Source organism: Homo sapiens, chromosome 22, assembly GCF_000001405.40.
Source record: "Homo sapiens chromosome 22, GRCh38.p14 Primary Assembly".
Lineage (NCBI taxonomy): Eukaryota > Metazoa > Chordata > Mammalia > Primates > Hominidae > Homo > Homo sapiens.
The window spans coordinates 32,637,170-32,665,108 of record NC_000022.11 but is presented as its reverse complement, the minus strand read 5'-3'; the positions used below and the strand labels follow the sequence as shown (position 1 = coordinate 32,665,108).

Here is a 27,939-nt window from a genome sequence, read left to right as displayed (position 1 = left end):
TGAGAATCCCTTGAACCAGGAGGCAGAGGTTGTGGTGAGCCGGGATGGCACCACTGCACTCTAACCTGGGTGACAGAACAGGCTCTGCCCCAAAAAAAAAAAAAAAAAAAAAAAAAAGAATTATACATTATACAATGGACTTTGGGGATTCGGGAGGAAAGGGTGGGAGGGGTTGAGGGATAAAAGACTACAAATTAGGCTGGGTGCAGTGGTTCACGCCTGTAATCCCAGCACTTTGGGAGGTGGAGGCGGGCAGATTGGGAGGCCGAGGCGGGCAGATTATGAGGTTAGGAGATCGAGACCATCCTGGCTAACACAGTGAAACCCTGTCTCTACTAAAAACACAAAAAATTAGCCGGGCTTGGCGGCGGGCGCATGTAGTCCCAGCTACAAGGGAGGCTGAGGCAGGAGAATGGCATGAACCCAGGAGGCGGAGCTTGCAGTGAGCCGAGATCGCACCACTGCACTCCAGCCTGGGCGACAGAGCGAGACTCTGTCAAAAAAAAAAAAAAAAAAAAAAAAAAGCGACCAATTGAGTACAGTGTATGCTGCTCGAGTGACAGGTGCACCAAAATCTCAGATATCACCACTAAAGGACTCATTCATGTAACCAGACACCTCCTGTTCCCCAAAAACCTATGGAAATAAAAAATAATAAATAAATAAATAAATGCTGCTGTTAGGTCAAGAAAGACAAGGACTAAAACACCGACCACTAGATTTTCCCCTGAAAACTATTTATTACTTTTAACCAAGTGCTGGCCAAGTCTCCCTGGCCTTGGATGGAAGGCATATCAATTGCACATCATCAGCCAAGTACTGATTGGATGGTTTCAATTGCAAAGGGGAAATCTTATCTCCAAGTCATAAGGTGGGATTTCTGACAGAAGGAAGAGCACACATTAGGTGAAGAATGCTAGACTAGGAAGGAATGGAGTCAGATGGCATGGGCACCAGTCTTGGTTTATCTACTTGCTCCCTGTGTGACCTTAAGACTCCCTGTAGCTCTTACCATCTTCACATACAATATGATGGGTGGTGAGCAGAGCAGGGTTCTCTGAGAGACTTTTCATAGTCTCTTCTCAAGTCTAAAATTCAAAGACATTTCCCTATCTTAGTCAGGGATGGCTACATAATTTGCAGGATCCCTTTTTCAAAATGTGCAGTGTGGGGGGGGAATGCTGTTAAAGATACTAAATATAAAGCTTTTTCTTTCCTTCCACTATCTCTCTCTTGACTTGTCATAATGCTGTTTTAATTGCTATTTAATATCATTCTAGGTAAAATAAATAAATGAAATTTTACATTATTCACGTGGATTTTACCATTTACTTTTACATTGTGCAATGCAAAATTTTAAATGCAAATATGAAAACATTGAACTCATAAGCAGAATCAATAAAATTACACAATTCATATTTCATAGTTCCTACATGCTGTATTAGTCAGTTCCCACACTGCTAATAAAGACATACCCGAGACTGGGTAACTTATAAAGAAAAAGAGGTTTAGGCTGGGCGTGGTGGCTCATGCCTGTAATCCCAGCACTTTGGGAGGCCGAGGCAGGTGGATCACGAGGTCAGGAGATCGAGACCATGCTGGCTAACACGGTGAAACCCCGTCTCTACTAAAAATACAAAAAATTAGCCGGGCGTGGTGGTGGGTGCCTATACTCCCAGCTATTCGGGCGGCTGAGGCAGGAGAATGGCGTGAACCCGGGAGGCGGAGCTTGCAGTGAGCCAAGATGGCGCCACTGCACTCCAGCCTGGGCGACAGAGTGAGACTCAAAAAAAAAAAAAAAGAGAAGAAAAGAAAAGAAAAACAAGTTGAATGGGCTTACAGTTTCACATGGCTGGGGAGGCCTCACAATCATGGCAGAAGGCGAAAGGCACGTCTTACATGGCGGCAGCAAGAGAAAATGAGAGCCAAGCGAAAGGGGTTTCCTCTTACACAACCATGCTACACAAAACTAACTCAACTGTTTTTATTTCACTTCTGGATGCACACACATTCTTCCAACCCCCTCTACTTGAGGCTTACTGTTGAGTAAGTAAGGACTAAAAGAAAAGTGAACTATGAATTGGCCTACCTTTTTCTTTTTTTCTGTGTCATCATATTCAGTATAAATTATTGGCTAGTAAGAAGGAACATGAGGGAATCTCTTGGTTGGTTGTTTGCTTTTCTCAGAAAGTGATTGTCTTCCTCATCTGTAAAATGGGGATACTTTGTAAGGCAATTTTAAAACAGAAAATTCATCTATCCACTCATGTAATTCTATACCACGCACAGTGCTTGGAACACATATGTGGTCAGTAAATATTTTAAGTGCTAAGAATTCAGTGTGGCTCAAGTTGGGAGGATGCTGAGGTACATAATAAAAATAACAGCTCAGCAGTAATTGAGTATTTATTATGTGCCAGGCATTGTGTTAATGCTATTGTATTAACTCATTTCCTCTTAATGACAGCCTTATGAAGTAGGTATTTTTATTACCCCCATTTTACAGATGAGGAACTTGGAAAGGTCAGTAACTTGGCCAAAGACCCGTAGCCAGTTAAGTGGCATATCTGGGAGTCAGGCCCAGGTCAATAAGATGCCAAAGCATGTGCTTTGGAACACTGACTATATTGGTCCCATAGTTACTTGGTAATAAAATCAAAGTAGTCAAAGAGCTATGGAGGGAAATGATGAGTTCCATCTGGGGAATCCAAGAAAGGCACTGAGAAGGCAGCTGTATGTACACGTCTGTAGCTCAGGAATGATGAACAGACTATAGATAAGATTTGGGAGTCCTCAGCTGAATGATAGCCACTGAAACCGTGAACATGGATATGAGTTAAGATAAGACAGCCCTATAGAACTAAGGCATCTGAGAGCCAAGGGAGGAGAAAAGAATGCCGAAAAGGAGACGTTGCAGAGGTAGGAGTGGATGCATAGGGGGAATACCTGGAAACCTGTGGACATTAATTCACATGCTACAGAGATGACCAATCAGATGACAACTGCAAAAAGACCTTTAGATTTTGCACGTGTCCCCACAGATGACTCCGGGTAAAACAGACTCCCTAGACTGGTAGATAAGGGGAAAGGGACAATGGAGAGATTTATAACTAAACTTGGTATGACTTTTCATCTGTCACATTCCATGGAAAAAAATTATCCTTTGTCAAACTACATTTCCTGACTTGGAGGCTAAGAAAAGTCAGTCACTGCAGCAAGATGCAAGATGCAACTTGGCTGTGGACATTTGCCAAGCCACTTACGTCCCCTCTTGAGGCCTCAGTTTCCTCATCTGTACATAGAGTTATTGGATGAGACATACTCTAAGTTTTCTCCCAGATCCAAAATTCTATTCCCTTCCGTTCCAGATGCTCTTTGAGGATGTTGGTGTTGACAAGAAAGGTGGGGGGAAAGAGAAGGACCCTGCTTGACCGCGACAGGTCCCCTTGTATCCTGTTCCCTCTCCATCTTATTTTCTCCACAGTGCTCTAGGGCAGCTGTGGAGCCAATGATGAAAACCACATGTTTCTGGGCAGCCCTGCTGTTGCACAATGCCGCCAAGGGGAGGGCAAAAAAGAAAGAAAGAAAGAAAAAAAAGAAAGTAAGTAAGAAAGGAAAGAAAAGAGCTTTGGAATTCTCGGCTTCTACAGACAATTCCCCCATTGATGTGCTGTGAGTCACGGCGGGCCGCCAGGCCATCATGGTTTCTGAATCACTTCCTTCAAGAGGGGCTCTCCACTTGTTCCCGGGCTGACTTTGGCCAGGGCTGGAATGCAAGGAGATTGGACCCTTTGGAGTGGTTCTGACTGCCTTCCTCTTTGCTGGAGCCCCAGAGGGGAAGGTGGAGGTGCTAGGCAGCAGGGCGTAGGGGTCTGAATGGAATTGAAGACAGCAGAGAAGCAGGTTGGACCTGCTTGTCCCAATTGGTGGACCCAACTCATGCCCCTCTCTCTCCCTCTGTTAGAGAAGAAAATGATGTAAAAATCCCAGATTAAAGGCCAAAGTTTTCTCTGGTGGGCACTAGACTCAGCCAGATCCGGAATTTCTATCCTCTCCACCTTGACATCCTGGCTGATGTGGACAAGGTTGACACCTTTTGAGCAGAGATAGGTTAAAGTTGATCCCAGCCATGTCTCCAATGGCTCACATTAGGGAACCTTGAACGGCACTCTCAGTCTCCCATCTTGCAATTTCCATCTTTGAGGTCAAGGATGTTAATGGCCCAAGAAGCCCTCGCCTGGGTGGTGGTCCTTAGGTGAGAGTCTGTTTTAAGTTCTTGCTTAAAATAAGCTTCACTTTTTTTCGGCCAAGACCCTTAATCCTTGCTCTGGGCCAGACTCTGCGTAGGCACCATGGATCCCAAGAGGAAATAGACATGGCGCCAACTGGACAAAAGAGAATGACAGGTAAATAAGTAATGATGCAAATTTATCACCAAATGCAGACTTGGGGACAAGGGGAGCTCCAGAAGGCAGCCAGAAATGTTTGTTGGATGGAGCATTTAGCGCCATTTTCCTTTGCCCGACCACCATTCCTTCCCCGCCAGCCCCTTAACCCCAGAACTTTCCAGAAGATCAGTATGAATGGGCCCTGGATTAGAGAGGAAGTGGTCTCTTCCCTCCACCAACACAGGGTGCTGTTTCTCAATGACCCCAGCTGTTAGGGAATATGCTAGAATGCCGCCATCTGGTGGGCACACGGAGCCGTGTCCATTTCGCAACTTTGCTGCACCTGGGGCAAGTGTCAGAGACGCACTGACCTGGAAGCCATGCCCCAAAGAAACCAGGTTTGGCACGGCTACTTATTTGACTGAAGTTACAGGTGATGAGCAAAAGGAGCGCCTTTTAAGGAGTCCTCCTGACCACATTCAGCTGGCTGTCTCCCTTTAAGGAGGTGAACTTGGAGGAAAAGCTAGTTTAGAGCAGGCACCATATCTTCATCTTCTCTATGCCTCTCATAGCCTCTAGCAGCAGATCCAGGAGGTAATGGGTGCTCAATGCATGGATGTTCAATGGGATCAGTTACTGAATATGATCAGTGAGAATGATAGCAAGGGTTCTTTCTATCTTGCACCACCATATCCCTAGCACCATGCCTGACTCTACAAATATACATTGAACCATTGAATAAAATTAGACTCTCGGAAGTAAAGATTCTGGAAACAGCAAACATGATTTGCTGGAGGACAGTTTAGGTATTGCCTGTATTGTCTAGTACAGCCTCCTTCCTCTCAGATGCATCCCAGGGAGACACAGTGACTTCACCAAAGTCACACAGCCACTCTTTAGAACTGGGACTGGTGGGCGGGCCAACTTGCCACCTGGTTGCCTGGCAGAATCCAGGTTGCCTGCCCATGTATATATGAGAAACAAGACAGGCAGCAAAAAAAGTATGGAGGAGGCATTTGTCCAGGGTCACACCCAGTGGAAGAGCTTCCCACTAAGAATATCTGAAACACCTTTTCAAGGACTCTAATACTATCCTGTGCTCCTAGGGTGAAAAGGAACACCACCTAGTGCATTAAATAAAGAGGTAAAGAATGTCTAGCAATCCAAGGAAAACAGAGCCAAATGCAGTTACTGGGTGCACAGAATGTGATGTGGGAGGTACCAGTCATGTCACAGGTCCAGGTGGAGCTCTTGTCTCCCAGGAAGAGTTTGTGAAATAGTATAACCCATGTTCTGAAGTTGAGCTCCAGAGTGGGTGATGGTTACCCAGATGGAAGAAGCAATCTGGCTTACATGTAACAATAAAGGATCTGGCTGTCTCCCCAGCACACTCTTCGTGGCTTCATTCTCTCTCTCAATTTTCCCTCTTTCCTGTGCCACATGGACCTTTCTAACACTCTTCTGCTTAGACCATCAATGGCTCCCTATTGCTTCTTAGATAAAATCTAAATATCTTCCCTTATCATCACCCCACTCCAACTCTTTAGCTACATACTTCATCCCTTCCTGCTTAGCCCTTACTCACCTTGGTTACACTGTTAGGACGCCTGTCCCTCAAGTAGGTTCCAGTCCTGGCTTCACCACTTGCTCTCATTGTGACCTTAAGGAAATCACTTAATTCCCTGTGCCTTCATTTCCTCATCTATAAAATGGAGTTCATGCTAGCATCTACCAGACTGGGCTGTCGTGAGAATGGATTTGAGTTCAGTATGTGAAGTCCGAATAGCGCCTGTCATGTGGTATGCTCGCAATGTATGTTAGCAATCATTCCTGTTATTATCGCTACATATAACATGCTTCCTCACGCCCCCATCCTTTCACACATGTTCACTGTGCCTGAAATGTCCTTTCTCTGCCTTCTCCCTCAGATGGACAACAGCTCATTCTTCAAGCTCCAGCTCAACGTCCCTTTTTTAGCAGTAGGGGAAGTTAAGTGCACCCTCATCTTTGTACACATCCCGACCCCATGTTCACCCTAAATCCCATTGTCACCACGAACATCCTTACTCATCAAATGGGGGTGTAATAGCATCTGTTGATCATGGTACCTGCCTGAAATGCCTTATGGATGGGATGGGCGACTCCACAGTCATCCTGTAGCCTGTGTAAATTGCAAAGCCTTCAATGAGCGTGAGAGATGTGTATTTTTGCCATCATGGAAGGGCTGTTGGCTGTCCAGCTTCTAACCTGCCAAGGCAGGGTCAGCATGTCCCTCGCTGACCCAAGGCCCAGTCTCCAGGAGGACCCCTGCCTCTCACAGACACCAGCTCACTCTGCAGCCTGCTGGGCCACACTTGCTTCTCTCACCCATCCACCCGAAAGCGGGGTTGGGGGAAGTCAAACACCAGCTATGAGCACAGGGTGCTGCCAGCACAGCCTACCCAGGGATCTCCCACCTGCTCGTCACCGACCACCTTCCTTTGGTTTCTCCTGGGCTCTAGGGGTGTCTGCAGCCCCCCTGCCCTCACCCTAGGCTCTGCCTTTATTCTCCTTCTGCCTCACTTGGCCTGTTCACCGTAAGAATGGAGAGGTCTCCTCCCGACTCCCGGCCCACCCTCCTTTTTTCTCTCTCCTCCCCCTCAGCATGCTTTAACGTCCTCAAATCCATCCCAGAGGCTTTAACAAGGCTACCTTCATCCACTCATCAAGCACTGTGTGAGGCACTTACTCTCTGCAGGGCACTGAGGGAGATTCAGGATGAGTAAGATGCAAACACTGTCCTAGGAAGACAGGAGGGGAAAGAGAAGTGTTTGTTGAAGGTGCCAGCACAATGCCAGAGACTTAGGGTGGCAAGGGGAGAGAGGGTGAAGGTCTTCTGACATGGTCCTTGGCCATTCTCCACTGGGGGGCTGTAGGTCTGCACTTTGGTTGTGCCTGGCTGGCATGCATTGAGGAGGGGCTGGCCTGATCCTGTCCCAAGCATTCAGCTGATGAGTGACACTGGAGCCCAGTTCATGACTGCTGTGTCCTTTGAGCATAGGGAAGGCTCCGGAGAGCACAGTCTGCAGCCCTTCTTACCAAGCCCTGCCTTGTTCTCAGAATGATGCCACCCCCACTCTGCTCTGCCCGGGCAGCCTGAATGCGAGTAGCCCCTGGTTGAAGGCCATTTGGCCCTGGGGCAACAACCTTCCTTGGCCAGCACCCCTGTCTGAGTCTCAGCTAACTTCTGTGTCTCTCTCAGTGGCTTATGGGAGCCTCTGGTTCCCTTCCATGTCAGACAAGAAGTGAGGGTGGCTCGGGCCGGGCGCGGTGGCTCACGCCTATAATCCCAGCACTTTGGGAGGCTGAGGAGGGTGGATCACAATGTCAGTAGATCGAGACCATCCTGGCTAACATGGTGAAACCCCGTCTCTACTAAAAATACAAAAAATCAGCCGGGTGAGGTGGCAGGTGCCTGTAGTCCCAGCTACTCAGGAGGCTGAGACAGGAGAATGGCGTGAACCCGGGAGGTGGAGCTCGCAGTGAGCCAAGATCGCGCCACTGCACTCCAGCCTGGGTGACAGAGCAAGACTCCGTCTCAAAAAGAAAAAAAAGAAAAGAGAAGTGAGGGTGGCTCAGGAGGGCAAATGCAGAGTCTCTCAGGCTGAGACTGATGCTGAGTAGGTAGGGAGGGGGATGCCTGGGAGGGGATCTCTTCCCAGAATTCCAAGCCAGAATGGGGCAGAAGCTCCCCACCCACCTTGCCAGCTTTCTTCTCCACCCAACAAGGTGCCCTTAGCTAATGCTTCAGCTCAGAGACCTCATGGACACAGGGGCTTCTCACTTCTCTTCCCCTCTCTCCCTGTCTCCCTCCCACAATGCCCTGCAGTGAAAAGCTTTCTTCTTTGTTGTCTCTGGTATGGACGTCCCTACATCCCGTCTTCCTCCTACGGGCATTCAGCCTCTTGCTCAGCCTGAATAGAAGAGGTAGCTGCTCTATCCAGTAAAAGAAAAAACAAACAAAAAAACAAAACAACAACAACAAAAAACTATGTCCTGCTCCCTCTAAGTCAATAGCAGCTAAAATAATTTAGAAATTCTGATTTTGCTTAAGACAAGACTCCTTTTACAGACTCAAAAAGTCCTACTCTGAATGTTAAACATTGACTATCGATCCGCTACCACTCTGCTTTGCTAACACCTCAAACCTCAACCTCCCCAAGACAAGCACATGCTGGGTAAGTTTCCATCCAAGGAGATGCAAAGGAGAGCTCTTTCTGCATCATGTTTCAAAAGCACTATCCTGATACAGCAGCTCATATTTGTTGAGATTTACCACGAACCAAGCACTTGATATACATCATGTCGCTTAATCCTTTCAACAGTCTGTAAGGTAGATTATGTTATTTTTCCCAATTTATGGATGAGCAAACTGAGGCTTCTTTAGCCTAGGGTCAAGCAGCAAGTAAGTGAGAGAGTCAGAAATGGAGAAATGGAGCTCAACATGTTTGACTCATAACCACTGTGCTGAAAGGGGACATGAGGCCTGCCCTGCAGAAATTTGCAGAATGGAAGGATATACTTGTGAAACAGTAGACGGTAGTATTATGAGCCGTTCAAAACCCCTTGCTAAAGGAAGGACACTTACTGGTTTTTGTGCATCTACCACACAGCAGGCATTCCCAGAGACCATATCCTCTCATTTTCACAATAATCCTGCACCCCTGTTTTACAAGTAGAGTGGGTAACTGGGCTTAGGGAGATTAGTTCTCCAATGGTCATGAAGTGGTGAAGCTGGGGTTTTGTCTTAGTCCAGCGACTCCCAACCTTTTTGGCACCAGGGACTAGTTTTGTGGAAGACAATTTTTCCACTGACCAGGGATGGGGAGGGATGGTTTCAGGATGACTCAAGCACATTACATTTATTGTGCACCTTATTTCTGTTATTATTACATCACAATATGCAATGAAATAATTATACAACTCACCCTAATGTAGAATCAGTGGGAGCCCTGAGCTTGTTTTCCTGCAGCTAGACGGTCCCATCTGGGGGTGATGGGAGACAATGACAGATCATCAGACATTAGATTCTCATAAGAAGCATGCAACCTAGATCCCTTGCATGCATGGTTCACAATAGGGTCCACGCTCCTATGAGAATCTAATGCCGCTACTGATCTAACAGGAGGCAGAGTGCGGGCGGTAATACGAGCAATGGGGTATAAATGGGCTATAAATACAGATGAAGCTTCACTGGCTCACCTGCTGCTCACCTCCTGCTGTGCGGCCCAATTCCTAACAGGTCACAGATTGGTACCAAGGCCACAGTCTGTGGCCAAGGGGTTGGAGACCCCTGTCTTAGTCCATTCCTGCTGCTGTGACAAAATACCTCAGACTGGGTCATTTATAAAGAATAGAAATGTATTTCATAGTTCTGGAGGCTGGGAAGTCCAAGTTCAAGGTGCTAACAGGTTCAGTGTCTGGTGAGGACGCTCTGCCTCAAAGAGGGTACTTCTTGCTCTGTCACCATGCAGCAGAAGTGGCATAAAAGAAATGAACACTGTGTCTTCACATAGCATGAGACATGGAAGAGCCAAGCAGCTCTCTGAAGCCTCCCAAAGGCCCCATCTCTTCATACCATCACCTTGGGGTTTAAGCTACAACATATAAATTTGGAGGGACACATCCATTCAAACCATAGCAGCTTTGAGCCCAGGTCATGTGATTTCAAGTCTTAATTTCTTCCATTATTCTATGCTTGCCCTGTAGCTTAGGGGAAAATGCATGAGGCTTCCTTTCCTGCTCTAGAAGAGCTGACAACAGTAGAAGAAATGTGACATATACACAAGTAACTACAAAAGGACATAGAACATGGTAAATGTCAGGAGAGAAAGGGACAAGCACCTAGAATATCAAGGGGTGGAGCCTGGCCCCAGCCCAGAGTAGCAGCAGCAAATGGCTGCCGAACACGTGGAATGGGGCTAGGCAGGCATGCTGGGAAGCATGCATGGGAGACAATGACAGATCATCAGACATTACATTCTCATAAGGAGCGTTCAACCTAGTTCCCTTGCATGTGCAGTTCACAGTAGGGTTCACACTTCTGTGAGGGTCTCTGAGCTGGATATGGACATGAATGAGATCTCGGTGTGGAGAGAGACAGAAGTACCTCCAAGAGTGACCCAGCCAGGGCAAAGGCTCTGAGCCACGTAGGCAGGGGACAAGCTGTCCCGTCTGGGTGGCATGTAGGGGACAGGAAAAGGACCAGCAGAAGATAAGGCTGGGGCCAGACCACAGGAGGCTTTGGAGGCAGAGCCAAGGAACTTGATTTGGGGGATCACTTGAGGAGGTCGCCATTGACAGATTTATGTTTTACAATCAGGTATGACTGGAGCCAGGCTTTGAGAAGACACATGTGGCAGAGTGAGCAGGCTGGAGTTGAGAGTAGTAGTACAGTCCAGACAAGAAAAACTGCCAGGACCAAGGAACTGAGAAAGTGGAGGGAGGGGAGTGGGTGTCAGGGTGGGATGGAGGAAATGAAACAGACAAAAAGGGCTTTAGGCAACCTGGCAGGTCCAGGCTGCTCTGGGCCGACTTACCTTGTTGCTGTGTCCTCTCTTAACTCTCAGGCATAGGCCTGGCTGGAGACACCTTGGGCACCACAGGCCCCCAGTGTGGGTACTGGGCCCTGGCATTATAGCAGGAAGATCTTCTTCTGTCCCTGGTCCAGGTAAGCAGAGAACGTGTTGGGGTCAAGGCCAGGCAGGAACTAATGGTGCAGTGGCACGTGTTCACAGAACACACCTACCTCTTACGTTCTGTCAGCCAGAGTTCAGACTTCAAAAGGCTGGAAAGGAAGCAGGGAGAGAGAGGAGATACCTTTATTGGGCATTCATTCTAATCCTCAGTACCCAATGAGAAAAGGCTCTGTATGTGGAGTTTAAAAATTGAGATTCAGAGAAGTTGAACCATTTTCTCAAAGTTACAAAGCTACTAAATGGCTATGAGAATTTGGACCCGAGTCTTCCTGATCCCGTTAACTCAACACACTGTCTTCCCCAGAGCCACTTCCTACCTCCTGACCCCCAACTTTTCACCTCCTGCATCTTCTGACTGGAAGCTGGCTGCCATGTGTGAGCAAACTAAAATTCTCCTCCAAAGAAGCTTCCCCAAAAATACACCATGAGCCTGGTCCCTGCAGCCCCTCCCATAAAGGACTCTGGGTTTGGCTGGAAATGAAGCCCTAGCATTTTTTTCTTACCTTGTTTTCTAACCTCCTTTTCATGCTTTTCTTGTAAACCTTTTTTGTTTGTTTCATTTTTCATTGGCAGCACAAGCCTTTGTTTTTAAAGGTAAGGCAGACATCAACTTCAGAAAATAACTGATAGGGATATTTTAGCCGTGATTTTGCCATTGATAAAAAATTCTAAAGCCTAAGGGGCATCATCTTGGCCCATCATACCTTTTTTTTTTTTTCTTTTAAGGAAAGGGGGAGAAAATTTGTCCAGTTTGGGAAAAACAGTGATGGGAAAGCAATTTGATAACTGATGATTTTCTGAGTGCTTCAGCCTCAAGAAAACCAACAGCTGCAACATATTCGTTACATGGAAATCATTAAGTCATTCTGGGAAGAAATGACAAATGCATGTGCCTGTGTATAGATGGTAGACATGTGTTTACATATGGAGCAAAGCACCCACAGAGGGAATTACTTTAATATTGCCTCTAGGCCAAGAGAAGAAAAAAACACGTGCAATGAAAGCCCCATTGCAAGAGATGATTCTGAACATTAAATTCTTATTGACTGTGAGGTTTGAACTGAAAACGTAGGGAGAAGTCATCTTTTCCTCGACACCTAAGCTCATAGGGATTTCCCTTAGGGAGAGGCAATTCTGTGGGGTGGAGCCAGCCTGGACAGGGCGTCAGGACCTCTCGGTTCTGATCTCCTCTCTGCCGCTAACTAGGGAGTGACCCTGAGGAAGTTTCCCCTCCCTTTGGGCGTCAATTTCTCAAAGGGGGTTTGACAAAATGGTCTCTGACATCACTTCCTCTGACATTCTGTGGATGTGCATTAAGTTTTTATAGCATAAATTCCGAGGAACTGACCTTCTGCTTCATAGAATTGAGCTGCTGGTCCCCCACCCCCTACCAGAAAGTGTTCCCTTTAGTAAAATTAGATTTTTATATAAATCTGATTTGCCTAGTTGCATATAACCATTTGCATTCACAACTTTGTTACCTCAAACCCAACTCCCCAGTTGAGACGATGAAAGCAAAACAATTAGCCATTTCCAACAAAGAAACTTTGTTTCTTTGTTTTCTTCCAAAAAAGAAAACTTTTTTTTTTCCAAAAAAAAAAAAACTTGCATCGCAGACTTAGGTGTGGGAAAGATGCCCTTAGCGTGGAAGGACTGAAGCATGTCATGGCTCGTGGAACAAAGAACCTGCTGGGCCTGAGAACCCATACGAGTTCTGTTCCTGGGCCATGGTGAAATCTGGCCGGCTGTTCTAAATTGAGTGTGTGCATTTTGGTGGGGACTAGCGGGGAGGAGATGGCAGAAGTTGGTTGTTGATAGACCCAATTTAATTATTTTGATGACCCTACGGGTAAATACAATTATCATCTCTGTCTCAACCTAAGTGGCAGAGTCTGGAATCAAACCAGTCCTCTTAAATTCCAGTGAGTGTGCTCTGAACCATGACACTCTAATGCAGAGCCTCTCAACTCTGGCACTATTAACGTTTTGGATAGGCTAATTCTTTGTTGCAGGAGGCTAGCCTGTGCATTCTAGGATTAGATGCATCCCTGGCTTCTACCCGCTAGATGCCAGTAGCAATTCCCCTCATTGTGAAAACCAAGAATGTCTCCACACATTGGCTCATGGTGGAACCACACTGCTCTAATGTCAGCCCAAGTGAGGAGGAGGAAAGGGCAGCCACGAGGCCCATATGTCACCATCCCCTAATGTAAATCTGAGGGATCAACCCAGAGATGGAGTTGGTTGCAGCATCAGTAGCAGTTTGGGAAGCAGGGTGTAGGTTAGGAACATGGCGAACTGAGATGTCTAAAGCATCCTCTGATGATGGGGTATCACGCGTGGCTGAGTTGATGTATATCTGAGCAAGCATGGGCCATCCTCAGTTTAAAGCCTTTTCATTCATTCATTCATTCATTCAAGCATGCATCCAAGGCTTCCTGACTTCTCACTGAGCTGGCCCTGGGGGAGCCAGAGGAGCGATCATGCCCCACCTGTGTGCTCCAGAAACATGCATATCATGGAGAGGGGCAAGAATGTTAGCCACACCATCGAAAATAACAACCCTACCCAGAGGCCAGCTGGAGACCTCCTAACTCAAGGAAAATTCCCTGGCCTTTCTCAGATTCTTGCTAATCACTGGTGGGCTCATCTTCTTCTGAACTTCCTCTGGGGCACTGACTCCCCCATGGCCATCACCCCACACACATCAATGCTGGCATCAAGTTCAGTGGCTTCTCTTTCTCCCGCCACAAGCGAAAATGTCTCCTACCAAGAGCAGTGTGTTTAGTAGACTCACTGACCTCCTTAGTGAGGTCCCAAGAAGGGAGTCTTATCTCACAATACAGAGCCCTTGTCTGTCTTCTTGGCCTTCTGTGCTCTTCCATCTCTACTCCTCAGACCCCTCACAGTTGGCCAAGATCTCCAATTTCTTCTCCCCAGTCCCTCCCACCCATGAGGACTTGGCTGCAGCTGACCCCAGACCCTCAAGTGACTGACCTTCTATTCCAGTCGCTAAGTATGTTCCCCACAAAGACTTTCCTCTCTAAGGAGGACTGGGGAAGCAGCTGTTATAAGGTAATAAAATAAAATTCATATCAGCATAAGAATACTTGGTATTGTAATATTTTTGGCCGTCTCTAATGCTGGGCAAGAAGCTAAGTGCTTGGCATGCATTATCTCATTTAATAAGAGACTCAGATTGTCACAGCGCTGTACAGTAAACACGCGGCATAGTGAGTCAGAGCATACTCTCTCAAATTAGAGTTCCAACCCTGCCTCTGACCAGCTGTGTGAGCCTGGGCTTTGTAGTTCATATCTCTGGGCCTCTGTTTTTCTCCTTCATTTGTGTAATGGGAAAGAGTAGGAGCATATTCTGCTTAGCATTATTGTGAAGATTGAAAGGACCAATAAAAGTGTAAAGTGCAGCCAGGTAGAGTGGCCTGCCATCCCAGCACTTTGGGAGGCTGAAATGAGGGGATCGCTTGAGCCCAGGAGTTTGAGACCAGCCGGGGCAACATGGTGAAACTCCGTCTCCACAAAAATGCAAAAATTAGCCAGGCATGGAGGTACACACCTGTGGTACCAGCTACTCGGGAGGCTGAGGTGGAAGGATTGCTTGAGTCTGGGAGGCAGAGGTTGCAGTGAACTGTGATCGCTCCACTGCACTCCAGCCTGGGTGATAGAGTGAGACTCTGTCTCAAAAAGAAAGAGAGAGAGAGAGAGAGGGAGGGAGGGAGGGAGGGAGGGAGGGAGAGAGAGAGAGAGAGAAAGAAAAGTGTAAAGAGCTTAGAATAGTGTCTGGCAATTAGTACATGCTCAATGAATGCTGGCCGTTGTCATAACTGTTGGAGAATGAATAGAGAAATTTGAGATTGCGTCTGTCTTATGATGGGATAACTCACAGAGCGGGGGAATTGGGGGAAGAGTTCTATAGCATGAGTAAGAGTTCACCTCCAGGAACATCTAATGCTCTGAATTTTATGAAATCAAAGCCTACTAGTCATGAGCCCCTTCTCAGCCTCATCAGCTTTTTCTCCTGGCTTTTTCCCCACTGATTTTCTCATTCCCACAAGGCCCAGTGAGACACTTGGGAAAATATTTTCCAAAATAAATTTCAAGTCATTATTTGTCCTAAACCACCCGATTCTGTGGCCCAGCCCTGTCTACTAATGTTACCGCCCTGTCCCTATTTAGACTGAGGTTTTATAACCAACCAGCCCCTCACCAGGGCTTCCCTGTCCGGCCACCCCCTGCCTGAGTCATCCTGTGTTGTCACAATTCTAGATTTATGATGTTGGCTCTTGTGGTCTCAAAGATGACTCTAGATGGGACCAGCCTTGGGCCCAGCCGCGAAGCTAGTTTTGTTGTGTTCCGCCTCCCACCACCCCATTCTTCCGTGGTGTAGTAAGAAGAGCATGTTCTGGGAGTTGGAACAGGGTTGCCTCCAAGCTCAGCTGTTTCCTTTCTGTGTGATCTTGGACCAGGAGGGCTTTCTCAAAGTCTCAATTTCCTCATTAGTAAATGGGGATGTTTGAAGATGAAATTAAATAGACTATACGAAAATGCCTGTACTCGGTACATACTAGGGGTCATTAACATCTATTGTCACAATTTTGAAACATAATAAACCATCCCAAAGCTCGGCGGCTTAAAAAATAATTATTCTTGCTCTCACAGGTCAGATGGGAATTGGCTGCTCTAGGCCTGGCGCTGAGTGGACCAGCAAGCTAGCCAGGACATGGCTAACTGCAGCAGTACAAGAGGGTCATACCCAAATTCACAAGCACATTTTAAGCCACTGTTTGTGTCACGTTTGCTACCAGCCCATTGGCCAAAATAAGCGACATGACCAAGCCCAGAATTAGGGATAGGGGAAGTATACTCCGCCTCTAGTGGAAGAAACTATCAAGTCACCTGACAACAGGTATTGATACAGAGAGGGGTGAAGAATTAGGAACGATGATACAATCAACTGTAATAGGTGGTCAGGAGATACTTGTTTCCTAATTTCATACACTCCTTCACATCCAGGGGCCTCTTTGTTTTACTTTGTGCCCATCCAAACTCCCTGCAGGGAGAAAATGTAAAATGCACATTCATTGGTATGAGTGGCCAATGACTGTTGTGTGGCACCTCAGAGTAAAAGAGGTGCTTCTTGGACAACAACAAAAATCATAATTGTCCATCTTAGTTGTTTGCTGTGAGCCAGGCTCTGAGCTCAGCGTATACTCTGTGTGTGTGATGTCATTTAATCTTTCAGCAACCTCAAGAGGTAGTACGTTCCCATTTTACAGCTAATGAAACTGAGGCTTTGAGAGGTTAATCAACCTGCCCATGGTCATGTAGCTAATATGTGCCAAACAGGGCTTTACAATGCCAAGTCTCAAATGCAGATATTTCTAACCAATGCTGTGCTCTTTCCATTAAACTACTAAGGGCAGGATTTTCACTGGGGCCAAAACTTTAAGTCCGGGTTTCCCAAACTTCAATCGTTGGTCACAACCTTTACAATTTTTACCATATTTATGTACTGTGTATACTGTAATTCATATAATTATTGATATTTTTAAGTTTTATCTTCAATAAACCTATTTTCAAAGAAACTGATGACTACCATAAATGGAAAACCAGTATCTCCTGACAAAAGAAAATAACCATAAAAAACACAAGAACAAAGCAATATTATTGAATTCATGCTGGATACTCTTGCTTGCTATGGGCTCCAAGCTCTCCAGGAAAGTGGGAGGTTTGCTAATATTGGGGAGGTGTTGAAAGAGCACAGGAACCAAACTAAGACTCTCCTTAATAGAGTCTCAAAAGCTAAGCCAGGTGTAGCGGCTCCTGTAATCCCAGCAATTTGGGAAGCTGAAGTGTGCAGGACTGCTTGAGGCCAGGAGTTTGAGACCAGTCTAGGCAATGTGGTGAGACACCCCCCCAATCCCTACAAAAACTTTTCTAAAAGTGTGTCTGTAGTCTCAGCTACTTGGGAGACTGAAGTGAGAGGATCACTTGTGCCTAGGAGTTCAAGATAAGCCTGGACAAGATAGTGAGACTCCATCTCTACCAAAAACAAAAAAAATGTAAAAAAATATTAAAAATATGTAATCCCAGCACTTTGGGAGGCCGAGGTGGGCGGATTGCAAGGTCAGGAGTTCGAGACCAGCCTGGCCAATATGATGGAACCCTGTCTCTACTAAGAATACAAAAATTAGCCAGATATGGTGGCGCGCACCTGTAATCCCAGCTACTCCGGAGGCTGAGGCAGAAGAATTGCTTGAACCCAGGAGGCGGAGGTTTCAGTGAGCTGAGATCACGCCACTGCACTCCAGCCTGGGCAACAGAGCAAGACTCCATCTCAATAAATAAATAAATAGCTGGGAACAGTGGCACACATCTGTAGTCCTAGCTACTCAGGAGTCTGAGGCAGGAGGGTCACTTGAACTCAGGAGGCCAAGGCTGCAGTGAGCCATGATCATACCGCTGCACTCCAGCCTGGGCTATAGAGTGAGACCCTGTCTCAAAAAAAAAAAAAGAAAAAGAAAAATCTCAAAGCTAGAAAATTCACTGAAAAGGAAATAACTTTCTCAGCATATGATTCAGTCTGTTGATGCTATTTTCAAGCATCACCAAACATCATCTCAGATGCCACCAGGATCTCTGTCCCTACCTCATATGCCTGTAGCCTTGGAAGAGGAGCCCACAGTAGGCTCCGAGAAAAGAACACCAAGAGGCCTTCTGGAGATCCCTGGGTCCCTCCTCTGCTGACCCCCTTGGATTTGGAACTCATAGACATGCAGAGGGGCATTCTGGGTGGTGTCTTCCAAGACCAAAGGCCAGTTTTCTCATGACATAGAATATAAGTAGGAGAGGTAAAACCCAGACACATAAAACAGGTGACCAGACAAGCCCCCAAGCCTTTGGCAGTTACAGGGACACACAGACCTGTATTCAAGCTGACTCAAGTTCAAGAGAGTTTCACTTGGTTCCCAGCAACCAGCGAAGGCAGGGGGCTTCAGGGGAGCCAGCCCTTGTCTCTTAACCTGATGGCTTTTTACTCTCCATACAGAACCAAAACCTCTTCCACAAGCCAAACAGGTCTCCACTCACTTCAGCTGCTCCATCTGGAATATCTCATCCAAAACAGAACCACAGAGGGAGAGGGGGCCTTGCCATTTGCTATTCTTGTATTTCTGCAATATCTGCCTCCATTCTTTCCACTGTTTCATTGTTTCTCAGTCTCTGCTCACAAAGCCAGTCAAATCAGAAGTGCCTCAATCCTTGACTCAAACCCGAGAAAACCCTTACTCATAGTTTGCAGGGCCTGGAAAGACTTTCTCAACATCCTCCTGCTCCCATAACGCTGTATTTGCAATCTTCTTGGAGCACCTATTATAACACATCTGCTCCTTCTTTATCCCTCTATTACCCCAAAAAAAGATCTAGCACAAAGAAGCGCTAGCCGGATGTTTAAAACTCAGGTGTAAATATTTATGGAAACTGCCAACACTAAATAAGCGACCTTATGAGTCAGGTTCTCCATCCACCTTCCCAGGGGGACTCAGATGCAAGAAATGTAAGTGGATTTTTCTAAGGTTCATTTTCTATTTTAAGCACCAGCATGAACAAAAGTCAGTTTGGGGTTCCCTCCCCTTCTCCTAGAGTTGCGCCAGACTTTTGGAGCTTGAGTTAGTTCCAAGACAGTGGGAGGAAACACCAATGTTATTGATCCAAATGGCATTCATGGAGATGTCCATCACTAGGTGCTCAGCTGATGGTCCACACAGGTTGCTGTTGAGCCAGGGATCCATTCCATGCATCTCCACTGCTCTGTGCTCTTCCTGGATGCACGGGAATCTTCCTGCTATTCTCATACCTCAGTAGGCACCCTTTCCGCGGCTCCATCCACCTGGACGTTTCAAGCAGCCACTTCCACTCTAGGGTCCTGCTGCTTCTCCAGTGACATAGTTCTACCAGGAAGTAATGTGCAGGTCCCCTCCTTGCCTGAATCTCCTTGGGACTTGTTCCTTATTCCAAGGCTCACGTGCCAGAAGTGGGGTACAGCTCCCCACCCCACCCCAACCCCCAAAATATCCCCTTTTGTGGATTTACCTCCACTTTTCCCCTTTCCCCCAGACAGGGAATTCTTGTCTCATCTCAGAGGTGAGAAGCCCTGCTCTTACATACCGTATTTCTCCCAAATCTGTTGTCTCCTATGCCAAGAGTTGTTTTGGTTTTCCTAAGAACTTGGGTTTTGGAAACAAAAGCAGAGGGCAGGGAGCAGTTACGTCCCTTTCCCAAAGCAGTAGCCACAGAGCAGCCCACTGGCTCAAATGGAGAAGGGTCTCAAGAGAAAGGACATACCAGGTGGAAACAATTACCAATTAACGTTTCAGAAATATCATCCAGCCTCACAAGCTTTAAACACACACGAAAGCACGTATTACTTGTAGAGTAAATTATTAAAGCAGACAAGTTTAAGATGCAAGGAGGTATTTTTCTGCCATTCCTGGGCCCTTAGCTTTTTTTTTTTTTCAGACGGAGTTTCGCTCTTGTTGCCCAGGCTGGAGTGCAGTGGTGCGATCTTCGCTCACCGCCACCTCTGCCTCCCGGGTTCAAGTGATTCTCCTGCCTCAGCCTCCCAAGTAGCTGGGATTACAGGCATGCGCCACCATGCCCGGCTAATTTTGTATTTGTAGTAGAGACGGGGTTTCTCCATGTTGGTCAGGCTGGTCTCGAACTCCCGACCTCAGGTGATCTGCCCTCCTCGGCCCTTAGCTCTCATTTAATTATTGTCTGGCTTTAGGGAGGATTCTGGGTCCCTTGTCCTTGCCTTCTTAATTTTCTTAGGAAAAGTGTTTTGAAGGAAGGAATGTCACTGTCAAAAGGCACAGTTTCACCTCTGAGTCCTCTCTGGATTCTCCCCTCTGGTGTTTTCTCTCGGACCTGGGAACCTCTTCTCTCCTCCTGTGTCTGCCACCTCTCACCACCCTTTCCCCAACCACTTCCTGCTACGACATCATTCTAAGAACTGAGCTGAGGCTGGAGAGAGCTAGGCAGTGGAGGGCCAAAGGCACTGTGATTCCAAAAAGAGGTCTGAACCAGGTTCTCCCCCATCCCTCCCCTTTCCCGGAACAGTCAGAAAAAGAGGAGAAAAGCCACCAAGGCCACAGCACTGGGAGGCCCCAGGCAGCCACCCCAGGAATGAGGGAGGAGGCCACGGGATAGAGGCCGCTGCTGCTCTTCCAAAGGGGATTTCTTCACTTCCTGCCAGGCTCTGGTACACAAACCTGTGTGTTTAGGAGGGAAAGGAATGTCACTGATTGCTCCAGTGGTGGTGGAAAGGGAAAAACGAAAATAACCTGCCCAGCAGTTCAGTTTCCTGTGCATGTGCCTGCATGTGCGAGCGTCAGTCCATCCGCCAGCCCAGCACACTTCCTGCTTGTCTGGGCTGGAAGGCGTTTATTTGGGAGGGTTGCGTGGAGCCAGGGCATGCTGAAAAGGCATTCCCAGGGCCCCTGACACTCACGTGGCAGGACAGCTGCCACCTGCCACCTAGAAGGAGGATCTTTATCCTCAGTGTGCCTTCAGGGACTGGTGGAGAGCACCTCCCTCTTCCTCTTCCCCACCTCATACCCCTCCCCTCCACTGCCAGCCTCCAACCCTGAATGTACGGTTGACTATCTGCTTATATGTCTCGTCTCCCTGCTAAACTTCAGGCTCCCCAAAGGGTAGCAATGGGGTCAAATTCCATTTTGTATGTCCTGCCTAGCACAGTTTCTGGCACTCAGTGGGTATTCAGTATATGTTTGTGAAACTGCACTCTGTCTCCCATCTCCCTCCCTGAATAGTTCCTTTCTCCCATCATCAGTCAGTCTTGTCGCTTTTTTTTTTTTTTTTTTTTTTTTTTTTTGAGGCAGAGTCTCGCTTGCCCAGGCTGGAGTACAGTGGTGAGATCTCGGCTCACTACAACCTCCACCTCCTGGGTTCAAGCGATTCTCCTGCCTCAGCCTCCAAGTAGCTGGGATTACAGGTGCCCAGCTAATTTTTTGTATTTTTAGTAGAGACGTGGTTTCTTCATGTTGGCCAGGCTGGTCTTGAACTCCTGACCTTGTGATCCACCCGCCTCGGCCTCCCAAAGTGTTGGGATTACAGGTGTGAGCCACCGCGCCCGGCCCCTTGTCTCTTTCTTTAAGCACATCCTCTCAGTAAATGCTCTGAACTGTCCTATAGGAGAAGTATTGTTACCTCCATTTTACAAATGAGAAGGCTAAACTCAAGGTCAAATTCATACCAATCATAAAATATTAGAGGTTTGAAATATTGAGATTTGAACATGGGGTCTTCTGATTTATTTCTACTATAACTCTTTTTTCCCTCCTCTGTTCTTCATTTATCTTTTCCTTTATGGGTCTGTTCTGCCCCCCCCGCCCCCCCACCATTTCTAATTTGCCCTCTCATTATTCTTAGAGATCTCTTACAGTGATTTCAAGGACTCTCTGGGCTTTTGGCAGAAGGCTTAAGTTGACCCCTGTGGGGCGAGATTAGGTGGCAACGCAAAGTGTGAAGATAAACATCCTTCACATCCCTGCTCAAATCTCACCCCCTTGGTGGGGCGCAGTGGCTCACGCCTGTAATCCCAGCACTTTGGCAGGCCGAGGTGGGTGGGTCACAAGGTCAGGAGTTCAAGACCAGCTTGGCCAACATGGTGAAACCCCATCTCTACTAAAAATACAAAAATTAGCCGGGCATGGTGGCGTGCACCTGTAATCCCACCTACTCAGGAGGGGCTGAGGCAGGAGAATTGCTGAATCTGGGAGGCAGAGGTTGTAGTGAGCTGAGATCACATCATTGCACTCCGGCCTGAGTGACAGAGTGAGATTCCATCTCAAAAAACAAAAACAAAAAACAAACAAACAAATAACTTCCTCAAAAAAGGTTTCCCTATCACTTTTATAAGCTCATCTTTTTAAGTGTAAATTGTGTGCACATTTTATAATGTCCATATGGATCAGCATATTAATACAAGTATAACTTTTAGGTAGATTTAAAAAACAAATAACTCATCATATATTGAGATGCATCCTCACCTTTTTTTGATAGGGGGCCTGATCAAAAAGTTTGGGATAGGGCCAAGCACAGTGGCTCAAGCCTGTAATCCCAGTATTTGAGAGGCCAAGGTGGGAGGATCATTTGAGCTTAGGAGTTCGAGACAGCCTGGGCAACATAGTGAGACCCCCATCTCAAAAATAAAAATAAGGCCGGGTACGGTGGCTCACGCTTGTAATCCCAGCACTTTGGGAGGCCGAGGCGGGCGGATCACGAGGTCAGGAGATCGAGACCACGGTGAAACCCCATCTCGACTAAAAATACAAAAAATTAGCCAGGCGTGGTGGGGGCGCCTGTAGTCCCAGCTACTCGGAGAGGCTGAGGCAGGAGAATAGCGTGAACCCAGGAGGCGGAGCTTGCAGTGAGCCGCGATTGCGCCACTGCACTCCAGCCTGGGCGACAGAGCAAGACTCCATCTCAATTAAAAAAATAAAATAAAAAGATAAAAAATCAAAATCAAAATAAAAAAGTTTGGGGTAGGACACTGAGTGTGGCTTAAGTCCTTTCACAGTCTTGTGATTTGGATTGCCCTTCTAGAAAATGGTTGGAATCCTTAACCAGAAACTTCTTTATTATTATTATTTTTTTTAAATGGAGTCCTGCTCTGTCACCCAAGGCTGGAGTGCAGTGGCATGATCTCGGCTCACTGCAACCTCCGTCTCCCAGGTTCAAGCGATTCTCCTGCCTCAGCCTCCCGAGGAGCTGGGATTACAGGCGCTTGCACCACGCCTGGCTAATTTTTGTATTTTTAGTAGAGACAGGGTTTCCCCACATTGACCAGGCTGGTCTCAAACTCCTGACCTCAGGTGATTCACCTGCCGCTGCCTCCCAAAGTGCTGGGATTTCAGATGTGACCCACCGCACCCGGGCCTTAACCGGAAACTTAACCAGCACAGTGTGAGGATTGCCAGAGGAAATGCTCTAGAAATATGGGAGTTTCCATCTTTGGAGGCTGGGGAGGGGCAATCTGTACCCCTGAAAAGGGTTTCTCAAACAATGAGGTCCCCCAATTTCTCAGGAAGCACTTTTTCGTTTTCTTAATATCAGCTTTATTGAGATATAAGTCACTTACAATACAATTTACCCACTTTAAGTGTAGTATTAAGTGGCTTTTAGTATATTCGCAGATATGTGCAACCATTACCACCTTCAATTTTAGACCATTTTCCTCTCCCCAGCGAGAAACATCATACTCATTAAGCAGTCATTCCCCTTCCCTCCTCCCACACCCCAACAGCCCTAGGCAATTTTTTTTTTTTTTTTTTTTTTTGAGATGGAGTCTTGCTCTGTCGCCCAGGCTGGAGTGCAGTGGCACCATCTCGGCTCACTGCAAACTCTGCCTCCCGGGTTCACAACATTCTCCTGCCTCAGCCTCCCGAGTAGCTGGGACTACAGGCGCCCGCCACCACGCCCAGCTAATTTTTTGTATTTTTAGTAGAGACAGGGTTTCACCGTGTTAGCCAGAATGGTCTCGATCTCCTGACCTCATGATCCGCCTGCCTCAGCCTCCCAAAGTGCTGGGATTACAGGCATGAACCACCGCGCCCGGCCCCAGAACTCACATCTTAACGTTTAGCTTCCCAGGGATTCTGAAGCACGTACGAGTTGCAGAGCCTTGAACTCCAGTGAGGTGATGTTCATTCTGAACACGTGAGCTCCACGGTTCAGATCACAAGTCAGAAAGAGGCCAGCCCTGCCTGACTGCCTGTAATTTAATCACCATTGTTGACGTTCGTGCTCAATGTATTGAGGTGTTTCTCATATATGATGATGCCATGGGACCACATTTACTCTTCATAATCAATCTGTGGGGCTGGTTTGGTCACCCCCGTTTTGCTGCAGAGGCAGAGACCTGGGCGAATGCCCAGGCACACCCAGCTTAAGCTACGTAGCAAACCAGAGCCTTCTGACTTGAAGCCCGATGCTTATTTATAATACCCCTGTGACTCTGTTTCTAAATCAAAGATGAATCCAAGTGATCTGACAAATATGAATAGATTTTTTTTTTTCCGAGACAGAGTCTTGCTCTGTCGCCCAGGCTGGAGTGCAGTGACACGATCTCCGCTCACTGCAATCTCTGCCTCCCAGGTTCACGCCATTCTCTCACCTCAGCTTCCGGAGTAGCTGGGACTACAGGCGCCCGCCACCACGCCCGGCTAATTTTTTTGTATTTTTAGTAGAGATGGGGTTTCACCATGTCAGCCAGGATGGTCTCGATCTCCTGACCTTGTGACCCGCCCACCTCGGCCACCCAAAGTGCTGGGATTACAGGCGTGAGCCACCGCACCCGGCCAAATATGAATAGATTTATGAAGACTGTGAGGAGCTGGGGCTGGAGTCCTGTCTGCTTAGCCCCTACTCCACCCCAGTGGTACTCCTGCAGCTTCTTAGTGGAACCCCTAGTTCTCTGAAGAACACAGTTTAAAAACCGCTGGCCTAGGAGCTTAAAGTCATCTCTCAAGGAGAATTTGATCTAAATGAGATTAATAATGTCTCATTAATTCATCAACCCTTTCTAAACAGCCATCTTGTGCCAGCACTTTGGTCGATTCTGAGTACACAATAAACAAGGCACAGTCCCTGCCTCCAAGGAGCTTACAATCTAGCAGAGAGGCATGGGATAAATGCTACAATAGAGGTTCATTCCTGGGAGTATGGGCAGAGGAGGCAGCCAGCGTGATTTGTGGGGTACCAAGGAAGGCTTCCTGGAGGAGGTGAGGCCTCAGTGGAGACTTGAAGACAGTATAGTCCTTCACCAGGCAGAGGGAGGAGAGAAAAAGCATTTCAGTTGGAGGAAAGCAGGTGCAAAGGTAAATAGGCAAGAGTGGCCTGTGTGTTTGTGGAGAGAACAGTTTTGCAGTTCTAGAACATATGGATTGAAGAAAGGAGTGGCAGCAAGAGCATGAGACTGAAGAATTGGATCAGGATCAAATGGGAAGAGGATAGGACTTTATAACATCCAATAGCCACACAAAGTGTCATCCAATTCAGTGCTAAACCACAGATTCTGACAACAGCACTCATCCAAGGAAAAGGGACATGGTGGCTCACACCTGTAATCCAGGCACTTTGGGAGGCCAAGGTGGGAGGATTCCTTGAGGCCAGGAGTTTGAGACCAGCCTGGGAAACACAGCAAGACCCTGCCTTTACAAAACAAATATTTAAAAGTTAGCCAGCTGTGGTGGCACCTATAGTCCCAGCTACTAGGGAGACTGAGATGGTATATCACTTGAGCCAGGAGATCGAGGCTGCAGTGAGCTATGATAGCACCACTGAGCCATGATCACACTACTACATTCCATCCTGGGCAACAGAGTAAGAACGTGTCTCAAAAAAAGAAAAGGAACTTAATTCACAAACATGAAAGAAGCAAAAGAGGCTACCGTAACCAAAACAGTATGGTACTGGTACAAAACAGACACATAGACCAATGGAACAGAATAGAGAACTCAGGAATAAAGCTGCACACCTACAGCCATCTAATCTTTGACAAAGTTGCCAAAAATAAGCAATGGGGAAAGGACTCCCTTATTCACTAAATGATACTGGGATAGCTGGCTAGTCATATACAGAAGAATGAAACTGGACTCCTACCTTTCACCATGTAAAAAAATTAACCAAAATGGGCCAGGCGTGGTGGCTCATGCCTGTAATCCCAGCACTTTGGGAGGCCGAGGCGGGTGGATCAGGAGGTCAGGAGATCGAGACCATTCTGGCTAACACGGTGAAACCCCGTCTCTACTAAAAATACAAAAAAATTAGCCGGGGTGGTGGCGGGCGCCTGTAGTCCCAGCTACTTGGGAGGCTGAGGCAGGAGAATGGCATGAACCCAGGAGACGGAGCTTGCAGTGAGCTGAGATCGCGCCACTGCACTCCAGCCTGGGCCACAGAGTGAGACTCTGTCTCAAAAAAAAAGATTTCAATGTAAGACCTCAAACTATATGATCCTAGAAGAAAACCTAGGAAACACCATTCTAAACACAGGCCTTGGGAAAGAGTTTATGAGTAAGTCCTAAAAAGCAATTGCAACAAAAACAAAAATTGACAAGTGGGACCTAATTAAACTAAAGAACTTCTGCACAGCTAAATAAACAATCAGCAGAGTAAACAGACAACTTACAGAATGGGAGAAAATATTCACAAACTATGCATCTGACAAAGGTCTAATATGTGGAATCTATACAGAATTTAAACAATTGAACAACCAAAAAACCGATAGCCCCATTTAAAAAAATTGTCAAAAGACATTAACAGATGCTTCTCAAAAGAAGACATACAAGAGGCCAACAAACATATGAAAAACTGCTCATCATCACTAATCATCAGAGAAATGCAAATCAAAACCGCCATGAGATACCATCTCACATCGGTCAGAATGGCTGTTATCAAAAAGTCAAAAAACAACAGATGTTGGTGAGGCTGCAGAGAAAAGGGAATGTTTATACACTGTCTGTGGGAATGTAAATTAATTCAGCCACTCTGGAAAGTAGTTTGAAAATTTCTCAAAGAACTTAAAACAGAACTACCATTCAACCCAGCCATTACTGGATATATATCCAAAAGGAAACAAATCATTCTACCAAAAAGACGCATGCACTCACGTGTTCATTGCAGCACTATTCACAGTAACAAAGTTATGGAATCACATAGACACCCACCAAGAGTGACCTGGATAAAGGAAATGTGGTTCGCACACACCATGGAATACTATGCAGCCATTAAAAAGAACAAAATCATGTCCTATGCAGCAACATAGATGCAGCTGGAGGCTTTTATCCCAAGGAAGTTAATGCAGAACAGTAAACCAAACAATGCATGTTCTCACTTATGAATGGGACCTAACATGAAGTACTCACGGACATAAAGATGACAACAATAGTCACTGAACTACTAAAGGGAAGAGGGAAGGAAGGGAAACAAGGGTTGAAAAGCTAACTGTTGCTGGGCGCGGTGGCTCATGCCTGTAATCCTAGCACTTTGGGAGGCCAAGGCGGGTGGATCATTTGAGGTTGGGAGTTCGAGACCAGCCTCGCCAACATGGTGAAACCCCCATCTCTACTAAAAATACAGAAATTAGCTGGGCATGGTGGCACATGCCTGTAATCCCAGCTACTCAAGAGGCTGAGGCAGGAGAGTCGCTTAAGCCTTGGAAGCAGAAGTTGCAGTGAGCTGGCATCGTGCCACTGCACTCCAGTCTGGGCGACAGAATGAGACCCTGTCTCAAAAAAAAAAAAAAAAAAAAAAAAAGAAAAAGAAAAAAAGAAAACCTAACTGTTGGGTACTATGCTCAGTACCTGAGTGACAGGATCATTCATATCCCAACATCCCAGCATCATGCAATACGCCCAGGTAACAAAGCTGCACATGTGCCCCTTGAATCTAAAAGACAAGTTGAAAAAGAAAAGCAAACAACAAAACCAAAAACCCAGGGAGAAGGTGGAAATTAATGATAATACCTGACATATCCACCACGCAGACTGTGTATTCGGCAGACTTTAAACACATTAGATATAATAACTCTGTTCCATCCTCACAACATCCCTATGATGGTGGGACCGTCATCATCCTCGTTTTGAAGTTAAGGAAACTGAGGCACAGAGATGTTAGAAAACTTGCTCAGCCTCACACAGCTAGCAAGCAGGAGTGTCAGGATGGAAACCAAGCAGTCTGGCTCCAGACATTGGTTCTCTATTACAACACTTCACTTT

At 46.7% G+C, this 27,939-nt stretch overlaps 1 protein-coding gene and 1 long non-coding RNA gene across 19 annotated transcripts in view, besides 1 other annotated feature; one reads left to right on the top strand and one right to left on the bottom strand.

Annotated features, from left to right (window-relative positions):
* The window catches only part of SYN3 (synapsin III), a 550,562-nt gene that overhangs the window by 393,273 nt on the left and 129,350 nt on the right, over positions 1-27,939 (top strand). The gene's annotated exons all lie outside the window — the stretch shown is intronic.
* On the bottom strand, positions 543-23,878 carry LOC105373002 (uncharacterized). The gene is made up of 4 exons (XR_938176.4): positions 23,794-23,878; positions 11,176-11,214; positions 10,967-11,088; positions 543-4,385 (listed from the first exon to the last, which is right to left on the bottom strand). It is a non-coding gene; the product is annotated as an uncharacterized LOC105373002 (long non-coding RNA).
* Positions 2,982-4,181: an enhancer, noted in NCBI's record as "CDK7 strongly-dependent group 2 enhancer chr22:33056914-33058113 (GRCh37/hg19 assembly coordinates)". NCBI's record gives its function as "activates an origin of replication core promoter dependent on BRD2, BRD4, P300/CBP, MED14 and CDK7 cofactors, with strong dependence on CDK7, by STARR-seq in HCT116 cells {active_cell/tissue: HCT116}" and the evidence as "EXISTENCE:reporter gene assay evidence [ECO:0000049][PMID:35650434]".